Source organism: Homo sapiens, chromosome 12 (genome assembly GCF_000001405.40).
Source record: "Homo sapiens chromosome 12, GRCh38.p14 Primary Assembly".
NCBI lineage: Eukaryota > Metazoa > Chordata > Mammalia > Primates > Hominidae > Homo > Homo sapiens.
In genome coordinates, this window is record NC_000012.12 from 7,648,801 (window position 1) to 7,670,813 (window position 22,013).

The following is a 22,013-nucleotide window of genomic DNA, read 5'->3' on the forward strand; positions in this document are numbered from 1 at the left end:
CAAGATGGCTTCCAGTGATTTTCATGTCCTGAGTTTCAAATCCTTGTGTATGAGTCCCCTCTTACTCTGAGTCATGGCTGGCCTGTGTAACAAATAGAATACTGCAAAAGAAATAGGGTGTGATTCCAAGATGAAGTCATCAAAGTCGTGGAAATTTCCACCTTGGTCTCTCTTCGATCACTCGCTCTGGGCCAGGTATGGTGGCTCACACCGGTAATCCCAGCACTTTGGTAGGCCGAGGCTGGTGGATCACTTGAGTCCAGGACTTTGAGACCAGCCTGGGCAACACAGCAAAACTCCATCTCTACAGGAAATTTTTCAAAAGGTAAATTAATCTGTAGGAAGCCAACTGCCATGTCCTGAGGTTATTTAAGCAACCCTGTGGAGAGGCCTGTGTGGCAAGAAACTGAAACCTTCTACCAGCCACTAGCACAAACTTGCCAGCCATCTGAGCCTGCCACCTGGGAAGCACATTCTCCAGCCTCAGTCAAGCCCTCAAATGATTGCAGCGCTGGCTGCCATCTTGACTACAACCTCGTGGGGGACCTGAGACAGGAACACACAGATAAGCTGCTTCTAAATTCCTTACCCACAGAAACTGCCAGAGGTAATACATATTTATTGTTGGTTTAAGCTACAGAGTTTTGGGGTACCTTGTGAACATTTCTAGATTCTAAATGGCATTCACTCTTTAGTGGGTCATCATTGCTTGTTCTTGAATCAGTACACACACGGAATCATCCTATTCATCTCCAAGCCACAGAAGGATGTATCAGCCCTGTAGCTAAAAGGATGTGTGGCGGAATCGTTTGGTAATGGCAGTTTTGAAGATGAAGTCTGAAAAATGTAAGATGATTTTGCCATCTTCTTGAAATCTTTAAACAGGGTGGAAGACTCTGGAATAAAAAAGGATTATATTTAATCCTTAGGATGAATATTTTAATTAATAATATTATCACCACAAACATTTAAAAATGTCAGTTGGAAGACGATTTAACTATTTCTTCTTTTTTTTTTTTCCCAGACAGGGTCTGGTTCTGGACTCACTGCATTCACCCAGGCTGGAGCGCAGTGGTGCAATCACAGCTCACTGCAGCCTCAACCTCCTAGGCTCAAACAATTCTCCCACCTCAGCCTCCCAAGTAGCTGGGACTACAGGCACGCACCACCACACCCAGCTAATTTTTTTGTGTTTTTGTTGAGATGTGGTTTCGCCATGTTGCCCAGGCTGGTCTCCAACTTCTGGGCTCAAGCCATCCACTCCCCTCTGCCTCCCAAAGTGCTAGGATTACAAGCATGAGCCACTGCACCCAGCCTGAACCACTTTCAAGAGAATCCAATGGAACACGTACATTCTCTTCAATAAGATTACACACACTAATAAGAGAAAGGAGAATATCTGAAATACAGTAGAGCCAATATGTGTTGTAGTAACAAGAACAATAATAATGATAAAGCCAGACATGATGACACACGCCTGTAGTTCTAGCTACCCAGAAGGCTGAGGTCAGAGGATTGCTTGAGGCTAGGAATTCGGAGTTTGAGGCTGTGGGTTGCTGTGATGGTGCCTGTGAATAGCCGCTACACCCCAGCCTAGGCAACACAGCGAGACCCTGTGGCTTAAAAGATAATGATAATAAAATAAGAATAAAAATGATAAAATGTAATTAATATGGGGACCACCCATATCTTAGATCGGTTTACCCAAATTCCCTTCTCCACTTACCTCCCACAAACACACTTCTTGTTCTTAGGCTTAGATGTTGTTTGTTTGCTTGTTTGTTTACTTTGTTTGATACATAATTTTCTTTTTTATAGAGAGGGGGTCTCATTATGTTGGCCAGGCTGGTCTCAGACTCCTGGTCTCAAGCAATCCTCCCATCTTGGCCTTCCAAAGTGCTTGGATTACAGGCATGAGCCACTGTACCCAGCTGTGTTTTAGAAACAGGATCTTGTTATACCACGCAGGCTGGAGCATATTGGCGTGATCATAGCTCACTGCAGCTTGCAACGCCTAGACTCAAGCTTCCTGCGTAGCTGGGACTACAAGTGTGCACCACCATACCTGGCTCTGAGATTTTCTTAAGAGGAGCTAGCTAGTTAAATAACTAAATCTCAATATAAATGTCAAAAAGAAGATATGAGTCAAATTTTCTCAGGAAAGACCTTTGAAGAAGGATGCTTCTTTTTGCATCAACATTTGTGTCCCTAAAGTGACTTACTAGAATTATGCAGTGCAGCTCCAGTGCGTACAACATCATCCACAGAGGTGGGTATTGTGGCCAGTGAGCTTCATCCCCAGGTGGGTAGTTGACAAAATTCCTCCAGCAGTGATAATACTCTAAGGAAACACAAATCTTGGCTCATTCAACAAGCACAATGGTAAATTACTTAAGAAGATCCCCAACCTAGCTTCCCGTATAGAAAGCCTGTAGTCTCTAGTCTAGTTGCTGCTGGACATTAGACCCCCTAAAAAGAATAAAGCAGTTCATTTAAAGATGGCTGAGAGGCAAGACTAGAGAAAAGAGTTGTTGGCTGGGTGCGGTGGCTCACGCCTGTAATCCCAGCACTTTGGGAGGCCGAGGGGGGTGGATCACAGGTCAGGAGATCGAGACCATCCTGCCTAACACAGTGAAACCCCGTCTCTACTAAAAATACAAAAAATTAGCCGGGCGTGGTGGTGGGCGCCTGTAGTCCCAGCTACTGGGGAGGCTGAGGCAGGAGAATGGCGTGAACCCCAGGTGGAGCTTGCAGTGAGTCGAGATTGCACCACTGCACTCCAGCCTGGGCGAAAGAGCAAGACTCCGTCTCAAAAAAAAAAAAAAAAAAGAGTTGTTGTTTGTTTTTGTTTTTGTTTTTTGATACAGGGTTTCGCTCTGTCACCTAGGCCAGTGTGCAGTGGTCCAATCATAGCTCACTGCAGCCTTGAACTTCTGGGCTCAGGAGATCTTCCTACCTCAGCCTTTAAAGGTGTATGCTGCCATGCCTGTCTGATTTTTTTATTTTATTTTTTATTTTATTTTATTTTATTTTATCTTGAGACGGAGTCTCGCTCTGTCGCCCAGGCTGGAGTGCAGTGGCGCGATCTCGGCTCACTGCAAGCTCCGCCTCCCGGGTTCACGCCATTCTCCTGCCTCAGCCTCCCGAGTAGCTGGGACTACAGGCGCCCGCCACCACGCCTGGCTAATTTTTTTGTATTTTTTAGTAGAGACGGGGTTTCACCGTGTTAGCCAGGATGGTCTCCATCTCCTGATCTCATGATCCGCCCACCTCGGCCTCCCAAAGTGCTGGGATTACAGGCGTGAGCCACCGCACCTGGCCGGATTTTTAAATTTTTTTTAGAGATGGGGTCTCACTATGTTGCCCAGGCTGATCTTGAACCCCTGGCTTCAAGTGATCCTCCTGCCTTGGCCTCCCAAAGTTCTGGGATTATAGGCATGAGCCACCATGCGTAGCCAGGAGTTGTATTTTTGTAACTTTCCTTGTCATGAATTTCAGACCTAGTCCTTTATGACATTATTTTGGACTTTTACTTCTGAGACTTCCAGCCTGGGCTAACCAATCTTCTGGCCTAAAAACAGCTACTATCACCACAGTCTGTTGTAAACAATGAAGTTTCTTTGTTTACTGTTTTTACCTGATGCTCTCATAATCTGAATAGTTACTCCACTGTTAACAAGGTCCCTGAGACCTTGCCGATTTTGTTGATCCATGTGCCAAAAAAGCCGAGCTACGTAGATCACTAGAGTCACACCAGGGTGCCGACTCAGAAACTCTCTAATAGCCTGGGAGCATTCCCAGCAGGGACTCCAGGACAAGAACCAGGTGATGGAGCAGCTCATGGATGGGTGAAAATCTCTTTCTGACGTAAATTTTTTTATAAAATTAACTTCCACGTGATTGGTGGTGTTTTTGCCTGAGCTTCGCCAGATCTTCCGGCTCATGCCCCACTTGATTTCGTAGAGCAGACAGGCCTCTTTACGAAGTTCTCTGGGGTCATAGAAGACGTCAAACTCCCAGGGTTCGATTCTTCTCCTGAAATACAAAAAGCAGCCCACACTGTCATGCCACATTTAGAGAGATCTTAGAAATCTTTTCCTGCTCCCCTCTTCTTTTTTTATTTTATTTTATTTTATTTTATTTTTTTAAGATGGAGTCTCACACTGTTGCCCAGACTGGAGTGCAGTGGTGCAATCTCAGCTCACCACAACCTCCACCTCCCAGGTTCAAGCGATTTTTCTGCCTCAACTTCCCAAGTAGCTGGGATTACAGGCTCCCGCCACCATGTCCAGCTAATTTTTTTGTATTTTTAGTAGAGACGGGGTTTCACCATGTTGGCCAGGCTGGTCTCAAACTCCTGACCTTGTGATTCGCCCACCTCAGCCTCCCAAAGTGCTGGGATTACAGGCGTGAGCCACCACGCCCAGCCTCTGCTCCCCTCTTCTATCAGGCTGATCTGAGACATAACATCTCAGGAAACTTCTTTTTCTAGTATATGTCTCAAAGTTATCTGAAGAGGTCTGTTTGAATTATCAGATTTTTTTTTCTCACAAACATAGTGCACAGGTTTCTTCCCCCAGTCACATTATTTGGTGACCACTCTCTAATACCATTATGTTTTAGTCTTGAATTCAGGTGTAAGCGTGTCTTTGTTTCTCTTTTAAATTTTCCTTCATTATATTCTAACCCTTTTTTTTTTTTTTTTTTTTTAAGACATGGTCTCTCTAAGCTGGCCAGCCTGATCTCCCCTTCCTGGACTCAAGCTACTCTCCTGCCTCAGCCTCCTGAGTAGCTGAGACCACAGGTGTGCCCCACCATGCCTAGCTATATTCTAACTTTTCTATTTTACACCTAGAGGTGCTATGTTCCAATCCTTATCTTTTCTATTCCTCAATGGACTCTAACCAGATTTTCTCAAGTGTTGACGCCTCAAATTGCCAACAAGATTGTATTGTCAAGAACAGACAAAAGAGCAATTTAGCCTCAAGATTCTTCCACATTAGGATTCTATATACTAACTCCTATAAGAAAGAAATTCTACTTGCTCTCAGTGGTGTCTTTAGATTTAACACTCTCTATGTCTGAAAGCTGTAACTCAAGGGAAACTCAGAATTGAACTGCAGACTCTTCTTTGCAATATGGTTAAGTCACAAGCTTATTACATCCTAATAGTTCCCACTCATCCCTAAAGTATCACATTCATTTACTACATAGATCAATCCTTCCACCTATCAAGAGATAATATATTCCTTAACATGACTTCCCTGTCCTATGTCTGAAAAATGGGCAGACATTATAAAACGAAGATGAAGTTAAAGTGACAAATGAGTTTCCCAGGTATTTCACTAATGGCTATAAAAGCATGCGATTTAAAAAAAGAAGAGAAATTGTAAGACAATAACAGATAAGCAAGCTAGAAAATCATTTATTTAAAGAGATCAAAAGACATAAGAGCAAAGATATAAAAAACAATAACCATAGAAAATGAAACTGGAAAAGGCAAAAATGAAAGAAAGAATGGAAAATGGCAAAAGAGAAAAGGAACAATAAAGAAAGCTATATCCACAGTTCCTTTTTTTTTTTTTTTTTGAGACAGGGTCTCAGTCTGTTACCCCGGCTGCAGTGCAGTGGTGCAATCATAGCTCACTGCAGCCTTGACCTCCTGGGCTCAAGCGATCCTCCTACTCCTGCCTCAGCCTCCTGAGTAGCTGGGATTATAGGCGCATGTGCCACCATGCACAGCTCTTAAATACCCATTGATTCTTGATCAAATTAAATGGGCACTGTGATAGTGTTATTCTTACCTCAGAGTGGGGTCACCGGTTGAAGGACCTGTTGACCAAGATATGATTATGTCAAACAACACTCAAATATCAAATGAGTTGCTAAGAAAAAGTGCTCTATTATTCCAAACCTCCAAATCATCTCAGAAAATGGAATTTGAAGATTCTCTCATGGATTAATTGTATTGGACCAGCTCATTGTACCCAAGAAAAGCAAGATTTTTAAGGACTCTGCCAAAATCTCTTTTCCCAGATGCCCAATCCCAAACAAGGTAGTCTGCCTTAAGGCTTCAACAAAAATGATTAAGCACAATGGGAAAGTCACTTCTTAAAGCCTCTTAGAGGCCGGGTGCGGTGGCTCACGCCTGTAATTCTAGCACTTTGGGAGACCGAGGCAGGTGGTTCACCTGAGGTCAGGAGTTTGAGACCAGCCTGGCCAACATGGTGAAACCCTGTCTCTACCAAAAATACAAAAATTAGCCAGGTGTGATTGCGGGCACCTATAATCCCAGCTACTCGGGTGGCTGAGGCAGGAGAATCACTTGAACCTGGGGAGAGGAGGTTGCAGTGAGCCAAGATCGCACCATTGCACTCCAGCCTGGGCAAAAGAGCAAAACTCTGTCTCAAAAATAAAAATTAAAAATAGGCCCGGTGTGGTGGCTCACGCCTGTAATCCCAGCACTTTGGGAGGCTGAGGCGGGCAGATCATCTGAGGTCGGGAGTTCCAGACTAGCCTGACCAACATGGAGAAACCGCATCTCTACTAAAAATACAAAAAAAAATTGGCTGGGCGTGGTGGCGCATGCCTGTAATCCCAGCTACTTGGGAGGCTGAGGCAGGAGAATTGCTTGAACCCAGGAGGTGGAGGTTGCAGTGAGCCGAGATCACGCCACTGCACTCTAGCCTGAGTGACAGAGCAAGACTCCTTAAAAAAAAAAAAAGAAAGAAAGAAATGGAAATACAGGAAATGTTATGACACGATGGGTAGAGAAGCCTAATGTAGACATGGGCATGGACAGCTTTGAGGGGCCTCACAGGGAGTGGTGCAGACCATGGTGGTGGAGTAGTTTGGAAAATAGAAAAGGAGGTGGCATTGGTGGGGCTTTGATTTTATATATATAGAGAGAGAGTGCAGTGGCTTATACCTATAATCCCAGCTTTTTGAGATGCCAAGGCAGAAGGATCTCTTGAAGCCAGAAATTTGAGACCAGCCTGGGCAACACAGTGAGACCCCATTCCTACAAAATGTAAAATTAGCAGGGTGTGTTAGCACACACCTGTGGCTACTTGAGTGGCTGAGGAGGGAGGATCACTAGAGCCCAGGAGTTCCAGGTTACTGTGAGCTATGATTATGTCACTGTACATAGCCTGGGTGATACAGTGAGACCCTGTCTCTTAAAAAATTAAAATTTTATTTCATTTGTTATTTTTTTTGTGGAGGCGTGTTCTCTCTGTGTTGCCCAGGTTGGTCTCAAACTCCTGAGCTCAAGAGATCCTCCTGCTTCAGCCTCCCAAAGTGCTGGGATTACAGGCATGATTCACCATGCCTAGGCCAAATTTTTTTTTTTTAAAGAAAGAAATAAGGAAATAAATGGAAGATGTGTATTTGAGAATTTATATACCGCAGGCCTGCTGCTCCCCTGCATGACCCTGGTCAGATTACTCCATGGTTATGAAATCATGCCTCACCTGGCCTACAAACTAATCAGTGTCACTCCGTGGAAGAAAGTCTGGGCTGGAAAGGACAGAGGTTCAGTTTCCTGGGGTGCAGTGTGAGTGGCCCCGGCTTTGGAGTGATCTAAGCAGTACTTTGTTTAGATGGCTCTCCTGGCCCTTATCATCAGAGGAATATGGACCCCGCACTCTAGAGGAGGAAGTAAAACCAGGCAAAACCACGTCCTCCATTCAGACTCTCAAAGGTGGTTACAAACTTAAAATGGTCCATGAATCTCAGTCTAGTCTAAAGAAGCAACACAGTGTTGCAATCAAGAGCCAAGGCTCTAGGGTCAGAGAAAAATGGGTTATAATCCCAGTTTAGCCAATTACTTGCTCTAACACATTTGGCAAGTTTCCTAACCTCTCTAGACCTCAGTTTCCCCATTTGTCAAATGTAGACCCTAAGATTGCCTATTCCACAAGGTTGTCGGAAGACTCACGTAACACAATGAATGGAAAACATTTGCAAGGTGCCTGACGCAGCAGATGCTTCATAAACGTTAAGCACTGTTATTACGGCAGCCTTTCAGAGGGTTAGAAAGATGCCTGTTTTATGTTTATTTCAATGGCATGAACATCATTGACATTAAATGTCAACTTGGGAATTTTGAGGAGGTGAGAGCCTCCTGTGTAAGAATACTTCTCTTTCTTATCTCTACTATTCGGTTTGCCATGCATATGCTTATGGATTTTTAGTTTGGGTTGCAAAAATACCCACTTGGTGTCCTAGTGTGTTGTATATACGTGTGTGTGTGTGTGTGTGTGTGTGTGTGTGTGTGTGTAAATAGCTATTTAACAGAGGAAAAAGGGAACTAATAATACTGGTAACATAAACATCTCAATTACATATTTGGCATCCCAGCCAGAATCATTTGAACCAACTGCATTTCGTACTAAGTTACTACCCTTGAATTGAGCCTCATGTGTATGTTTCCTCGCCATGACTGCCAAATTGTTAGCTGAATGTCTAGTTGCATAACATAGAACCTAAGTTGAGCCAGTCCTTGGAATATGTCTCCAAAGTCAGAACACTTTTGAAGTGACTCTGAGGCTTTTTGCACCTTTAAGGCTGGAGAGAGGTGGATTGCACACTTTCTGACGTTTTATTTTTCATATAGAGGGCTAGCCATATACTGTGAAGTATGCTTTCTACGGTAGGCCCAGGCCATTCCCATGAAAAGAAAGTGAGCAAGGGCTGTGGAAAACTGAAGATAAGCCTGCATCTAGAGCTACTAAATTCCTTAAAATAAAAACAATCAATAACAACAAAACAAAATTAAAAAACAAACCAGGCTGTAGGCAGTGACTCACACCTGTAATCCCAGCACTTTGGGAGGCCAAGGCAAGATGGTCGCTTAAGCCTAAGATATCAAGGCCAGCCTGGGTAAAATGGGGAAATTTCCGTCTCTACAAAAAGATACAGAAGTTTAACCAGCTGTAGTGGTGCATGCCTGTAGTCCCAGCTACTAGGAAAGCTGAGGTGGGATAATCACTTGAGCCCAGGAGGTTGAGGCTGCAGTGAGCCATGAGCATGCCACTGCACTCCAGCAGGGGCAAGAGAGACAGACCCTGTCTCAAAAAAAGATAATAATAATTAAACTAAAATTATAAATAAATAACAAAAAAAATACCCAAAACTATTTCCTGGAAAAGAATTGAAGTCTATGACAAAAATGCATGGACTGATCAAAAGTCCCTAATTTCTTCCAATTTCCGAAATAGAATCACCTGGAAATTGATTTGTTCTGTTTTGTTTTGTTTTGTTTTGTTTTGTTTTGTTTTGAGACAGAACCTCACTCCACCACCCAGGCTGGAGTCCAGTGGTGCAATCTTGGCTCACTGTAAACTTTGCCTCCAGGGTTCAAGTGATTCTCGTGCCTGAGCCTCCCAAGTAGCTGGGATTACAGGCATGTGTCACCACACCCGGCTAACTTTTGTATTTTTAGTAGAGACGGGGTTTCACCATCTTGGCCAGGCTGGTCTCAAACTCCTGGCCTCATGTGATCTGCCCCTCTCAGCATCTCAAAGTGCTGGGATTACAGGCGTGAGCCACCGTGCCCGGCCAAAATTGGGTTTTTATTTCAGGTTTGATAGATGATTAAATAGGTGTTGGAGTCCTTGGTTACAGGTACATTATTTTTCAGACTCAGGCTGCGTTTTGAGAAAGGCGATACAGGAATTGGAGACTAAAGATTTTGATTTATGGCTTGATTACCCAACAGAGGTGTCACAGTGCCAGATGGTCTCAGAGTCAGTGGCATGAAGGAAAAAGGAAGTCTGTGAGACCTCACTGTAAGAGGCTCATGACAATAAAATTGAGTCTGAGAACTCTTCTCAAGCTAATATTTTTAAATAATAATCACTTGGCACATATTGATTGAAAATTTAGGCCAGGCGCGGTGGCTGACTTTGGGAGGCTGAGGCAGGTGGATCACCTTAGGTCAGGAGTTTGAGACCAGCCTGACCAACATGGCGAAACCCCGTCTCTACTAAAAATACAAAAATTAGCCGGGTGTGGTGGCACATGCCTGTAATCCCAGCTACTTGGGAGGCCGAGGCACAAGAATCACTTGAATCTGTGAGGCAGAGGTTGCGGTGAGCCCAGATCATGCCGTTGCACTCCAGCCTGGGCAACGAGAGCAAAACTCCATGTCAAAAGAAAAAAAAAAAAAGCACTTCCACCAAAAAAAGAAAATTTAAAAATATATTTATAGGCCGGGCGCGGTGGCTCATGCCTGTAATCCCAGCACTTTGGGAGGCTGAGGCAGGCAGATCACCTGAGGTCAGGTGTTCGAGACCAGCCTGACCAACATGGAGAAACCCTGTCTCTACTAAAAATACAAAATTAGCTGGGTGTGGTGGCGCATGCCTGTAATCCCAGCTACTCAGGAAGCTGAGGCAGGAGAATTGCTTGAACCCAGGAGGTGGAGGTTGTAGTGAGCCGAGATCGCGCCATTGCACTCCAGCCTGGGCAACAAGAGTGAAACTCCCTCTCAAAAAAAAAAAAAAAAAAAAAAAAAAAAATATATATATATATATATATATATATATGTTTATATTTGAAATTTAAAAATCACACACACACACACACACACAAAAGGAACTACCGGCAACCTGGAGTACTTGTGACCAACTCACCATTTAATTTGCACCAGGGAGATACAAATTAAAACCACAATGAGATATTCCTACACACCTATCAGAATGGCTATATGTGTGTGTATAGGTGTGCGTGCACAGACACGCATGCAAAACACCAAATGCTGGTAAGGATGCAGAGAAACTGAATCTGTCATACTTTGCTGGTGGGAATGTAAACTGGTACAGCCATACTGGAAAACAGTTTGCAAATTTATTTTAAAAAAGAAAAACTAAAAATGCAACTACTGGCCAGGCACAGCGGCTCATGCCTGTAATCCCAGCACTTTGGGAGGCCGAGGTGGGCGGATCATGAGGTCAGGAGATCGAGACCATCCTGGCTAACACGGTGAAAACCCAACTCTACTAAAAATACAAAAAACTGGCCAGGCGTGGTGGCGGGCGCCTGTAGTCCCAGCTACTCGGGAGGCTGAGGCAGGAGAATGGCGTGAACCTGGAAGGCAGAGCTTGCAGTGAGCCGAGATCAAGCCACTGCACTCCAGCCTGGGCGACAGAGCGAGACTACGTCTCAAAAAAATAAATAAATAAAATAAAATAAAGTTTCAATTTAAAGAAAGGGTATTTGGGCCGGGTGCGGTGGCTCACGCCTGTAATCCCAACACTTGGGAGGCTGAGGCGGGTGGTTCACAAGGTCAAGGGTTCAAGACTAGCCTGGGCAACATGGTGAAACCCCGTCTCTACTAAAAATACAAAAATTAGCCAGGTGTGGTGGCAGGCACCTGTAATCCCTGCTATTCTGGAGGCTGAGACAGGAGAATTGCTTGAACCCGGGAGGCAGAGGTTGCAGTGAGCAGAGATCATGCCACTGCCCTCCAGCTTGGGTGACAGAGCAAGACTCTGTCTCAAAAAAAGAAAGGAAGGAAGGAAGGAAGGAAGGGAAGGAAGGAAGGAAGGAAGGAAGGAAGGAAGGAAGGAAGGAAAGAAAGAAAGAAAGAAAGAAAGAAAGAAAGAAAGAGAGGGTATTTGGGCCAGGGACAGTGGCTCACACCTGTAATCCCAGCACTTTGGGAGGCCTAGGTGGGTGGATCACCTGAGGGTCAGGAGTTCGAGACCAGCCTAACATGGTGAAACCCCGTCTCTAATAAATACAAAAAATTAGCCAGGCATGGTGGCCCATGCTTGTAATCCCAGCTACTCAGGAGGCCGAGGCACAAGAATCGCTTGAACCCGGGAGGCGGAGCTTGCAGTGAGCCAAGAATGTGCCACTGCACTCCACCCTTGGTGACAGAATGAGATTCCATCTAAAAAAAAAAAAAAAAAGGGTATTTGATGGAAAACTATACAGCTATACAAAAGAATGAAATCATAAATCATGTCCTTTGCAGCAACATAGATGCAGCTGGAGACCATTATCCTAAGCAAATTAACACAGAAACAGAAAACCAAATATTGCATGTTCTCACTTATAAGTGGGAGCTAAACCTTGGGTACACATGGACATAAAGACAGGAACAGCCAGGCATGGTGGCTCACACCTCTAATCCCAGCACTTTGGGAGGCGGAGGCGGGTGGATCACAAGGTCAGGAGATCGAGACCATCCTGGCTAACATGGTGAAATCCCGTCTGTACTAAAAATACAAAAAAAAAAAAAAAAAAATTAGCCTGGTGTGGTGGCAGGCACCTATAGTTCCAGCTACTCGGGAGGCTGCAGCAGGAGAATGGCGTGAACCCGGGAGGCGGAGCTTGCAGTGAGCCAAATTTGCGCCACTGCACTCCAGCCTGGGTGATAGAGCGAGACTCCGTCTCAAAAAAAAAAAAAAAAAAAAGACGGGAACAATAGACACTGGAAAAGTCCAAAAGGACTGAGGGAGGGAGAGGGGAAAGAGCTGAAAAACTTCCCATTGGGTACTATGTTCACTATCTCGGTAGCAGAGTCAATACAAGCCCAAACCTCAGCATCACACAATATATACCCTTGTAACAAATCTGCACGTGTACCCCATGAATCTGAAATAAAAATTATAATTAAAAAATAAGAAAGAGTATTTGGTAGTGTGGAGAGAAGCCAGGATATCTTTGATGACAGATGATAGATAGATAGATAGATAGATAGATAGATAGATAGATATCTCTTTATAATTGTAATTATACATATTTTAAACCACAACTCGAGAGGAAGGAGAAAAGATAACTGAATGAGTAATAAGTGTAAAAAGATACTTGTAAAGAACATATGGAAAGATCCTATTGAACCAGCAAAAAAGGACCAGGCTCCAACTGGAGCCAAGTGGTTCCTGAAGACATTTACAGGGCAGTCCTGCTACATAAGGGACCTCAAGTGGACACAGATTCTCCCTTTGAATCGTGCTAACCTGGAAGGGGAAAGAGAAAAAAGCAACAATTGCTGCTCTTAGGTATAGAACCTAATAGTAGGTCCAGCACTAGAATTGAGAGATGGGAAGTAACAATTGATGTGGAAATGAGCAGTCATCTAAATTCCCAATGCACAGGGCTTCAGGGAGTGGGGATTATCTTGATCTCTCCCTTAGTCAAAAGAGTCCCTGGCTGGGTGCCATAGCTCATGCCTATAATCCCAACACTTCAGGAGGCTGAGGCGGGAGGATTGCTTGAGGCTAGGAAATTGAGACTACCGTAAGCAACACAGCAAGACCCCGTCTCTAAAAACAAAACAAAACAAAACCAAACCTTTTTTAAATTAGCCGGGCATGGTGGTGTGCACCAGTAGTCCCCACTGCTCAGAAGGCTGAAGTGGGAGGATCACTTGAGCCCAGGAGTTCGAGGCTACAGTGAGCCATGATCGCCATTGCACTCCAGCCTGGGCGACAGAGCAAGACGTTGTCTTTAAAAAATAAAAAAAATTTAAAAATTTAAAAAAAGACGGCCGGGTACGGTGGATCATGCCTGTAATCCCAGCACTTTTGGGAGGCCAAGGCGGGTGGATCACCTGAGTTCAGGAGTTTGAAACCAGCCTGGCCAATATGGCAAAACCCTGTCTCTACTAAAAATACAAAAATTAGCCGGGCATGTTGGCACGTGCCTGTAATCCCAGCTATTCGGGAGGCTGAGGCAGGAGAATCACTTGAACCTGGGAGGTGGAGGTTACAGTAAGCCAAGATCACACCATTGCACTCTAGCCTGGGCGACAGAGCGAGAGAGACTCCATCTCAAAAAAAAAGGAAGAAGAAAAGTACTGGAAGGAGACAAAAGGTGGTGGGGGCACCATATCGACCATATCAGAGATGGCAGTCAGAGAAGACATCTATAAAGAGGGACATTAAAGCTGAGACCTGAATGTAAATTTAGAGAGCAAGACATGTGGACGTCGGGGAAGGGGAGAGCTTTCCAAGCACAGGGAACACCAGGTGCAAACGACCTGAAGTGTGGACCTTGACTTGTTCAAGGAAGAGCAAGCAAGTCAGCTTGGCTGGGTCGGAGTGATCAAGACCTGCAATGGAGGGAGATGAGCAATGGAGGGGGTAAGCCACAGGGCCTTACCAGCTCTGGATAGTATGCTAAGTGTAAGAAGCCATTAGAGAGTATGGGGATGATTCAAGGGAGAGTACTGAATTTTAGAGACCTGCGCCTCTCAGGACTCAGAGGCTTGGGGATGTTCCTGGCAATAAAATGGGCGCTGACAAGGCCTGAACCTCTAAGGGTGATTTGGGGAGATGCAGGCAAGAAATTCATCCCACGCTCCTGGCCAAACCTTAACTCGCAGGTGCTATTTTTGAACAGAGAAGAGTCACAGGCTCTGGAAGACACTTCCTTTAAAACAGAGCATGCTTTACCCTAGGCTGTGTGTGTACCTGTTTGTGTGTGTTACTTTTTATGCATTTGCACTGGATGGTAGAGGAGTTGTAGAAAGGACTTGGGCATGGCATGGTTTTTTTGCAGAGAGTGGTTCTAGCTGGGGAGAAGAACTAAAATGAGAAATTAGCCAGATATCTAGGAAATAGGACGAAGTCAGGAAACACTATTCCAAGTGTGACCTGAAGAACAAATCTCTTACTTTTAAAGGAGGAATGGGGGATTTGAGCATTGGGAGGAAGGAGGAAGGGGGTGGCTGGCACGTTGGAATGAGCTCTTCTCAGATCTTAGTGCAAATTGGGGCCCTTGAACCAGTAATCTACTCCGAGGGAGCCTTACATAAACAGAGGCCACATCATAGGAAAAAGGCATTTGATGATGGGAAGACACTTTCTCTGAAAGAGCTGAAGCAGCAGTGAGAAGTTCAGAAAGGGACGGTGAGACATATGCTGTGTCTACACTGATCAATATTATTCCTGGGATGCAAAGACAAGGATACCAGCCACATGACTGGGGACAGTTTGAGGTATAGAACACACCACCTTCATAAGAAAAGTCCAGGGAAGGTATTAGCTACTACAATCAAATAATGTGTTTGGTCTTTCCCCCAGTATGCCACTTAAAAAAGAATTTTTTTTTTTTTCCCGAGATGGAGTTTTGCTCTTGTTGCCCAGGCTGGAGTGCAATGGCGCGATCTCGGCTCACTGCAACCTCCGCCTCCCTGGTTCAAGTGATTCTCCTGCCTTGGCCTCCCAAGTAGCGGGATTACAGGCATGTGCTACCGTGCCCAGCTAATTTTGTATTTTTAATAGAGACGTTGTTTCTCCATGTTGGTCAGGCTGGTCTCAAACTCCCTACCTCAGGTGATCCGCCTGCCTTGACCTCCCAAAGTGCTGGGATTACAGGTGTGAGCCATCACACCTGACCTTAAAAAAGAATTCTAACAGATGAAGAACATAAAGGAGAAAATAAATTGTTACTTCAACTCCAAACTGATATCTATATTACCTTCTGCCCCATCACACTCACACTATTGCAATAGTCTTCTAACTGGTCTCCTTGCTTCCAGTCCAAAACCCATCACATGTCAAGTAAATGTGTCTAAAGCACTATTTTAGTCATATCTCTGTGCTATTCATAAATTCTCCAAAGATATTCCCTCTACCATAAAGAAAAACTTTCATTCCTTGAGCCTGGCATTCGAAGTCCTCTATAGTATAATAACACTTCAAATTTGCTTTCTGGTCTTACTGCAAATTGTTTACATAAATTTTTTGTAGCCTAACCAGTTTATTCATTATATTCCAGACACAAGTCTCTATAAAAGCTTTTAAATTCTGTTCATCAATAGGATTCAATCAACCTGGAATCTCCTCTTCTTTGTCGATCCAAAGTCTGCCCTTCTGGCCTGGCATGGTGGCTTACACCTGTAATCCCAGTACTTTGGGAGGCCGAGGCTAGTGGATCACTTGAGCCCAGGAGTTCAAGACCAGCCTGAGCAATAAAGCAAGACCTCATCTCTACAAAAAAATTAGCAGGGCTGGTGGCCCATGCCTGTTGTCCCAGCTACCCAGGAAGGTGAGGCGGGAGGATCTCTTGAGCCCAGGAGGTCAAGACAGCAGTGAGCAGTGATCACACCACTGTACTCCAGCCTAGGCAACAGGGCGAGTCTTAAAAAAAAAAAAAAAAAAATTTGGTTAGGCATGGTGGCTCATGCCTGTATTCCTAGTACTTTGAGAGACCAAGGGTGGAGAATTGCTTGAGCCCAGGAGTTCCAGACCAGCCTGGGCGAAGTAGTGAACCCACCCGCTAGTCTCTAAAAACAAAATAAGATAAAAATTTTTTTAGGTCTACACTTCTCTTAGAATCCAGCTCAAATCCTAGCTCAGCTGAAATTACTTCCTTCAGCCTGAAGTGTTCTTCCTCTCCCATGCATTTTTCTAACACTGACTGTGCACAAATTTATCAATTAGTTATAGTCAATTCATTTGTCAATTAGCACATTGTTCTCATGCTATCACGTCTGTTGTTACCTTAAACTGTTATTTAAACAGTTGTACTTTTACTTAACTTTTTTTTTATTTTTGTGAGACAGAGTCTTGCTCTGTTGCCCAGGCTGGAGTGCAGTGGCGTGATCTCAGGTCACTGCAACCTCCGCCTCCTGTGTTCAAGTGATCCTCCTGCCTCAGCCTCCCGAGTAGCTGGGACTACAGGCATGCGCCACCATGCCTGGCTAATTTTTGTATTTTTAGTACAGATAGGGTTTCACCATGTTGGCCAGGCTGGTCTCAAACCCTGGGCCTCAAGTGATCCACCCTCCTTGGACTCCCAAAGTGCTGGGATTACAGGTGTGAGCCACAGCGCCTGGCTACTTAATTTTTTATCATGGTGAAACAAACACTGATTTGGTTAAAGTCACTTGGAGATGTAAATATTTACTAATAATAAACCATCTTATTTAAGACTAATATATTAATCAATAATAGGGAAGTTTGAAAACACCCACAGATGCAAGAATCAGCAGGACACACACACACACACACACACACACACACACACACACACACACACACACACACCATTCTTGCATTGTTCAAGAATACTTGCCAAGCCCCCGGATCCATTTTACCTTTCTCAGAAGTCATGGTGCTCTGTCTCTGGACTTCCTCCTCTGGAGTCATAAGTTGTGCTGATTGTTCCTGGACTTTGTTGCTTCAGGTGTGCCCACTGCCACCTGCTTGGGCAGAGGATGACTCATTCCCGCATCTCAGGCAGTTATGGGAATCTGAGCTGTCTGTACAAACAGGGGGCCGACTGAGAGGGACATTATCGTGGGGATTTGCATCTTTAGTGATGAGAAAGCCTATGATGCAAATGACATGAATTTTGTAGGGTGGATCACTGGGTACCAAATTCCAAAGTTCTTCAATGACATCTGAATTTGGTAAACTTTCTCTTTCTTTAAATAAAGATTAAGGCAAGGTGGATCCATCATTCTTTTTTGTTTTGTTTTGTTTTATTTATTTATTTTTCATTATCTCCTACTCTGCATCAAGGATGCATCATTCTTTTTTTTTTTCTTTGAGACGGAGTTTTGCTCTTGTCGCCCAGGCTGGAGTGCAATGGCACAATCTTGGCTCACTGCAACCTCTGCCTCCCAGGTTCAAGCGATTCCCCTGCCTCAGCCTCCCGAGTAGCTGGGATTACAGGCGCCCAACACCACGCCCGGCTAATTTTTTGTATTTTTAGTAGAGACGGGGTTTCACCATGTTGGTCAGGCTGTTTTTGAACTCTTGACCTCAGGTGATCCACCCGCCTCGTCCTCCCAAAGTGCTGGGATTACAGGCATGAGCCACCGTGCCTAGCCTAGGATGCATCATTCTTTAATGGAGAGATGAGAGGAAAAATAAAGTTAAGAGAGACTTAATCTGTAACTATAGCTTGAAAATTTTTATGTTATCTGGTGAGCACACTGTGGCCTTGGCTTTCAGCTGTTATTCACCTATTTCCAACTTCCTCTCATTTTGCTCTCTGTCCTACATCCGTGTTGGAGAGGGGAGGGGAGCTATTAGATACAAAATGAGAAGGACCTTGGCCTCTGAGTCAGCTAATTTGTGTACAGGTCTTTGGTGCTCTCTTCATCCTTGAATCTAAGATTAAGTGTGTGGCCAAGTCCACTTCTGCCCTTTTTTTTTTTTTTTGAGACAGAGTTTCGCTCTTGTCACCCAGGCTGAAGTGCAATGGCGCGATCTCGGCTCACTGCAACCTCTGCCTCCCAGGTTCAAGTGATTCTCCTGCCTCAGCCTCCCAAGTAGCAGGGATTACAGGCACCCACCACCACACCAGGCTAATTTTTATATTTTTAGTAGAGACAGGGTTTCTCCATGTTGGCCAGGCTGGTCTCAAACTCCTGACCTCAGGTGATCCACCCGCCTCAGCTTCCCAAAATGCTAGGATTACAGGCGTGAGCCACCTCTCCCAGCCACTTCTGCTTTTTTATCCCCCTTGAAAAAGTAAATGCCATACTTCCCTATGCCATTGCTCTCTGTTGCCTGAACCCTGGGTCAAGTTCAAGCCAAAAATTCCTCTGAGTCTCAGCACTTACTCCTAGAATTGAGGTCACTTTTTCAAGGCCTAAGTCTCCCTCTAGTGTCTCAAATCTAGAACTCCTGAACTTTGAATCTCAAGGCCCCATGAACCTGAAACCCGAATCCTACATACAAGACTTTACTTAGTTATGAAAGTCAACCTGGAGCCTCCATGAGATAAAGCAGGTGTTTCGACAGGGGCAGACCAGTGTTTTGAAGAAGGGGCAGAAATCCCACATCATCAATAAAGGCCCTTCAGAGACCAAGTTTTTCTAAGTTAGGTAAGAGTAGAATCATTGTAGAATAAAAGTAGGTTAGGCCAGGCGCAGTGGCTCGCGCCTGTAATCCCAGCACTATGAGAGGCAGAGATGGGAGGATCACCTGAGGTCAGGAGTTCAAGACCACCCTGGCCAACATGGCAAAACCCAGTCTCCTAAAAATATAAAAGTCAGCTGGGTGTGGTGGCAGGTGACTGTAATCCCAGCTTCTCGGAAGGCTGAGGCATGAGAATTGCTCGAACCCAGGAGGGAAGTTTGCAGTTAGCCGAGATCTCACCATTGCACTGCAGCCTGGGCAACAGAGTGAGACTACGTCTAAAAAAAAAAAGAAAAAAAAAAAAAGGTAAGATAATAGCCATCAACGATATCCATGTCCTGATCCCTGGAATCTGTTAAACATATGAACTTAAGTGCCAAAAGGGTCTTTGTCGTTAATTAAAAATCTTGAGATGAGAAGACAATCCTGGATTATGCAGGTGGGCACAGTCTAATCACAGGGTCCTTATAAGAGGGAGGTAGAAGAGTCAGAGTCAGGATGCGAAATGGAGATATGAGGATGAGAGCAGAATTCTGCTTGCTGGCTCAAAGGGAGCCACGATTCAAGGAATGAGGAAAGCCTGTAGAAGCTGGAAAAGGCAAGGAATGGATTCTCCCCCAGAGCCTCCAGAAGAAATGCTACCCTGATGACACCTTGATGTCAGCTTAGTGAGACCTGTTTTGTACTTCAGACCTCCAGAACTATAAAACAATGTGTGTCGTTTTATACCATTAAGTCTGTGGCAATTTCATGAAGCGGCAATAGGAAACTGATATGGTAGGACATGCTCCCAGGAAGTAAACATGCAGCAGCCAAGAGGGTGCAAAACTTGGGTTTGTTTTCTACTAGAATGCCTATTGAGCGCTTCGTCCATGTTCTGTTTTGTTTAAGAAAACTTGGAACTATGACATATGACAGACTATCATGTGGTTAATTATTTGTAAGTGAGGTCAAAGATAATCAAGGATGAAATGTAGCTATTCAGTTTAAGTCTGTCCTGCACCTGAAAATTTATGAATTTTGAAAAATGTATACATACACTTATGTAACTACTCCAGTCAAGATATTTAAAATTCCCATCACCCCAAAAGTTCTTTTGTTTTTTTGTTTTTTTTTAAGACAGGGTCTTCCTCTATCGCCCAGGCTGGAGTGCAGTGGCTTGACCTTGGCTCACTGTAGCCTCAGCCCCCCGGGTTCAAGCCATTCTCATGTCTCAGCCTTGCAAGAAGTAGCTGGGATTACAGAGATGCACTACCATGCCCAGCTAATTTTTGTACTTTTAGTAGAGATGAGGTTTCACCGTGTTGGCCAGGCTGGTCTCGAACTCCTGACCTCAAGTGATCCACCCACCTTGGCCTCCCAAAGTGCTGGGATTACAGGTGTGAGCCACCATGCCTGGCCAGCACCCCCCAATTCTGTGTGTTAGCAGCTATCCTCCTACTCCTAGTCCCAGGCAAATACTGCTCTTTCTGTCTCTATAGTTTAGTTTTGACTATTATAGAACTTCATACAAATGGAATCATGCATTGTGCACACTTTTGTGTGTTCTTTTGCTCAGCTTTTCCTTTTTTTTTTTTTGAGACAGGGTCTCACTATACAACTTTTTGTATTTTTAGTAGAGACGGGGTTTCACCATGTTGGCCAGGCTGTTCTTCAGCTTTTCTGTAAAATCGGTCTACATGATTAGGTGTATTGGTGGTTAATTTTCATTGCTGAATAGTATTCCATTGCATAGGTATGCTACGATTTGTATATTCTTCTGTCGATGTGATGTACTTTGGGTTATTTCCAATTTTAGGCTTTCATGAATAAAGCTGCTGTGAACATTTGTATACAATTCTTTGTGTAAACATGTCTCTTTTTCTTCCTCTTGGGTAAATACCCAAGAGTGAAATTGCTGGATCAAATAGGTAAATGCACATTTAACTCTTTTTTAAAAAATTGATTTTATTTTTTATAGGGACAGGGTCTCACTATATTGCCCAAGTTGGTCTTGAACTCCTGGGTTTGAGAAATCCTCCTGCCTTGGCCTCCCCAAAGTTCTGGGATTACAGGTGTGAGCCACTACACCCAGCTACATTTAACTGAAGAAAATGCCAAATTGTTGTTACCAGTTTACATTTTCATCAGGTGTATAAGAGAGCCCCAATTGTTATACAACCTCATCAGTACTTAGTAATGTCAGCCCTGTTAGTTACAATCATACTTGTGAGTGTGTGGTAGTATCTCATTGTGATTTTAATTTGCATTAAAATTAAATGCAATGAACATCTTTTCATGTACTTATTAGTTATTTATATATCTTTTTTCTGAAACTTGTTCAAATTTTTTGTCTTCCCTCCCTACCTCGCCCACCTCCCACCCACCCTGGAGACAAAATTTTGCTCTTGTTGCCCAGGTTGGAGTACAATGGCCCCATCTTGGCTCACTGCAACCTCCTCCTCCCGGGTTCAGGTGATTCTCTTGTCACAGTCTCCCGAGTAGCTGGGATTACAGGCGTGTGCCACCATGCCTGGCTGATTTTTGCATTTTTAGTAGAGATGGGGTTTCATCATGTTGGTCAGGCTGGTCTCAAACTCCTGACCTCAGGTGATCCACCTGCCCCAGCCTCCCAAAGTGCTGGGATTACCAGGTGTGAGCCACCACACCTGGCCTTGTCCATTTTTTAATTGGGTTCTTTGTCTCATTACTGAGTTGTAAGAGTTTTTTACGTATTGTGGATACAAGCTTTGTCATATCTGTATACAAATGCTCCTCAGTTTACAATGAAGTCATGTCTCCATAATCCCATCATAATTGCAAAATATTGTTAAGTTGAAAATTCATTTAATACACCTAACCTGGCCGGGTGCAGTGGCTCATACCTGCAATCCCAGCACTTTGGGAGGCCAAGGCGGGTGGATCGCCTGAGGTCAGGAGTTCGAGACCAGTCTGACCAACATGGAGAAACCCCACCTCTACTAAAAATACAAAATTAGCCGGGTGTGGTGGCACATGCCTGTAATCCCAGCTACTCCAGAGGCTGAGGCAGGAGAATCACTTGAACCTGGGAGGCAGAGGTTGTGGTGAGCCGAGATCGTGCCATTGCACTCCAGCCTGGGCAAGAAGAGCAAAACTCTGTCTCAAAAAAAAAAAAAAAAAAAAATACACCTAACCTACCAAACATCATAGCCTAGCCTACCT

General features: G+C 44.3%; 1 protein-coding gene across 3 annotated transcripts, besides 1 other annotated feature; it reads right to left on the reverse strand.

The window, feature by feature from the left end:
- Positions 1-599: 599 nt before the first annotated feature.
- APOBEC1 (apolipoprotein B mRNA editing enzyme catalytic subunit 1) lies at positions 600-21,799 on the reverse strand. 3 transcript variants are annotated; one of them, NM_001304566.1, is made up of 6 exons: positions 21,786-21,799; positions 17,057-17,082; positions 5,805-5,832; positions 3,638-4,035; positions 2,223-2,341; positions 600-896 (listed from the first exon to the last, which is right to left on the reverse strand). In NM_001304566.1, exons 2-6 carry the CDS (start codon positions 17,070-17,072, stop codon positions 747-749), a joined length of 711 nt encoding a protein of 236 aa, NP_001291495.1. In that variant the 5' UTR covers positions 17,073-17,082; positions 21,786-21,799; the 3' UTR covers positions 600-746. The 3 variants fall into 3 exon arrangements, with proteins under 3 accessions (NP_001291495.1, NP_001635.2, NP_005880.2); NM_001644.5 differs by lacking the exon at positions 21,786-21,799 and having other exon boundaries at positions 17,057-17,108; NM_005889.4 differs by lacking the exons at positions 5,805-5,832; positions 21,786-21,799 and having other exon boundaries at positions 17,057-17,108.
- Positions 17,813-18,107: an enhancer, noted in NCBI's record as "tiled region #10898; HepG2 Activating DNase matched - State 8:EnhW". NCBI's record gives its function as "activates a minimal TATA promoter and a strong SV40 promoter by Sharpr-MPRA in HepG2 cells {active_cell/tissue: HepG2}" and the evidence as "EXISTENCE:reporter gene assay evidence [ECO:0000049][PMID:27701403]".
- Positions 21,800-22,013: the final 214 nt, after the last annotated feature.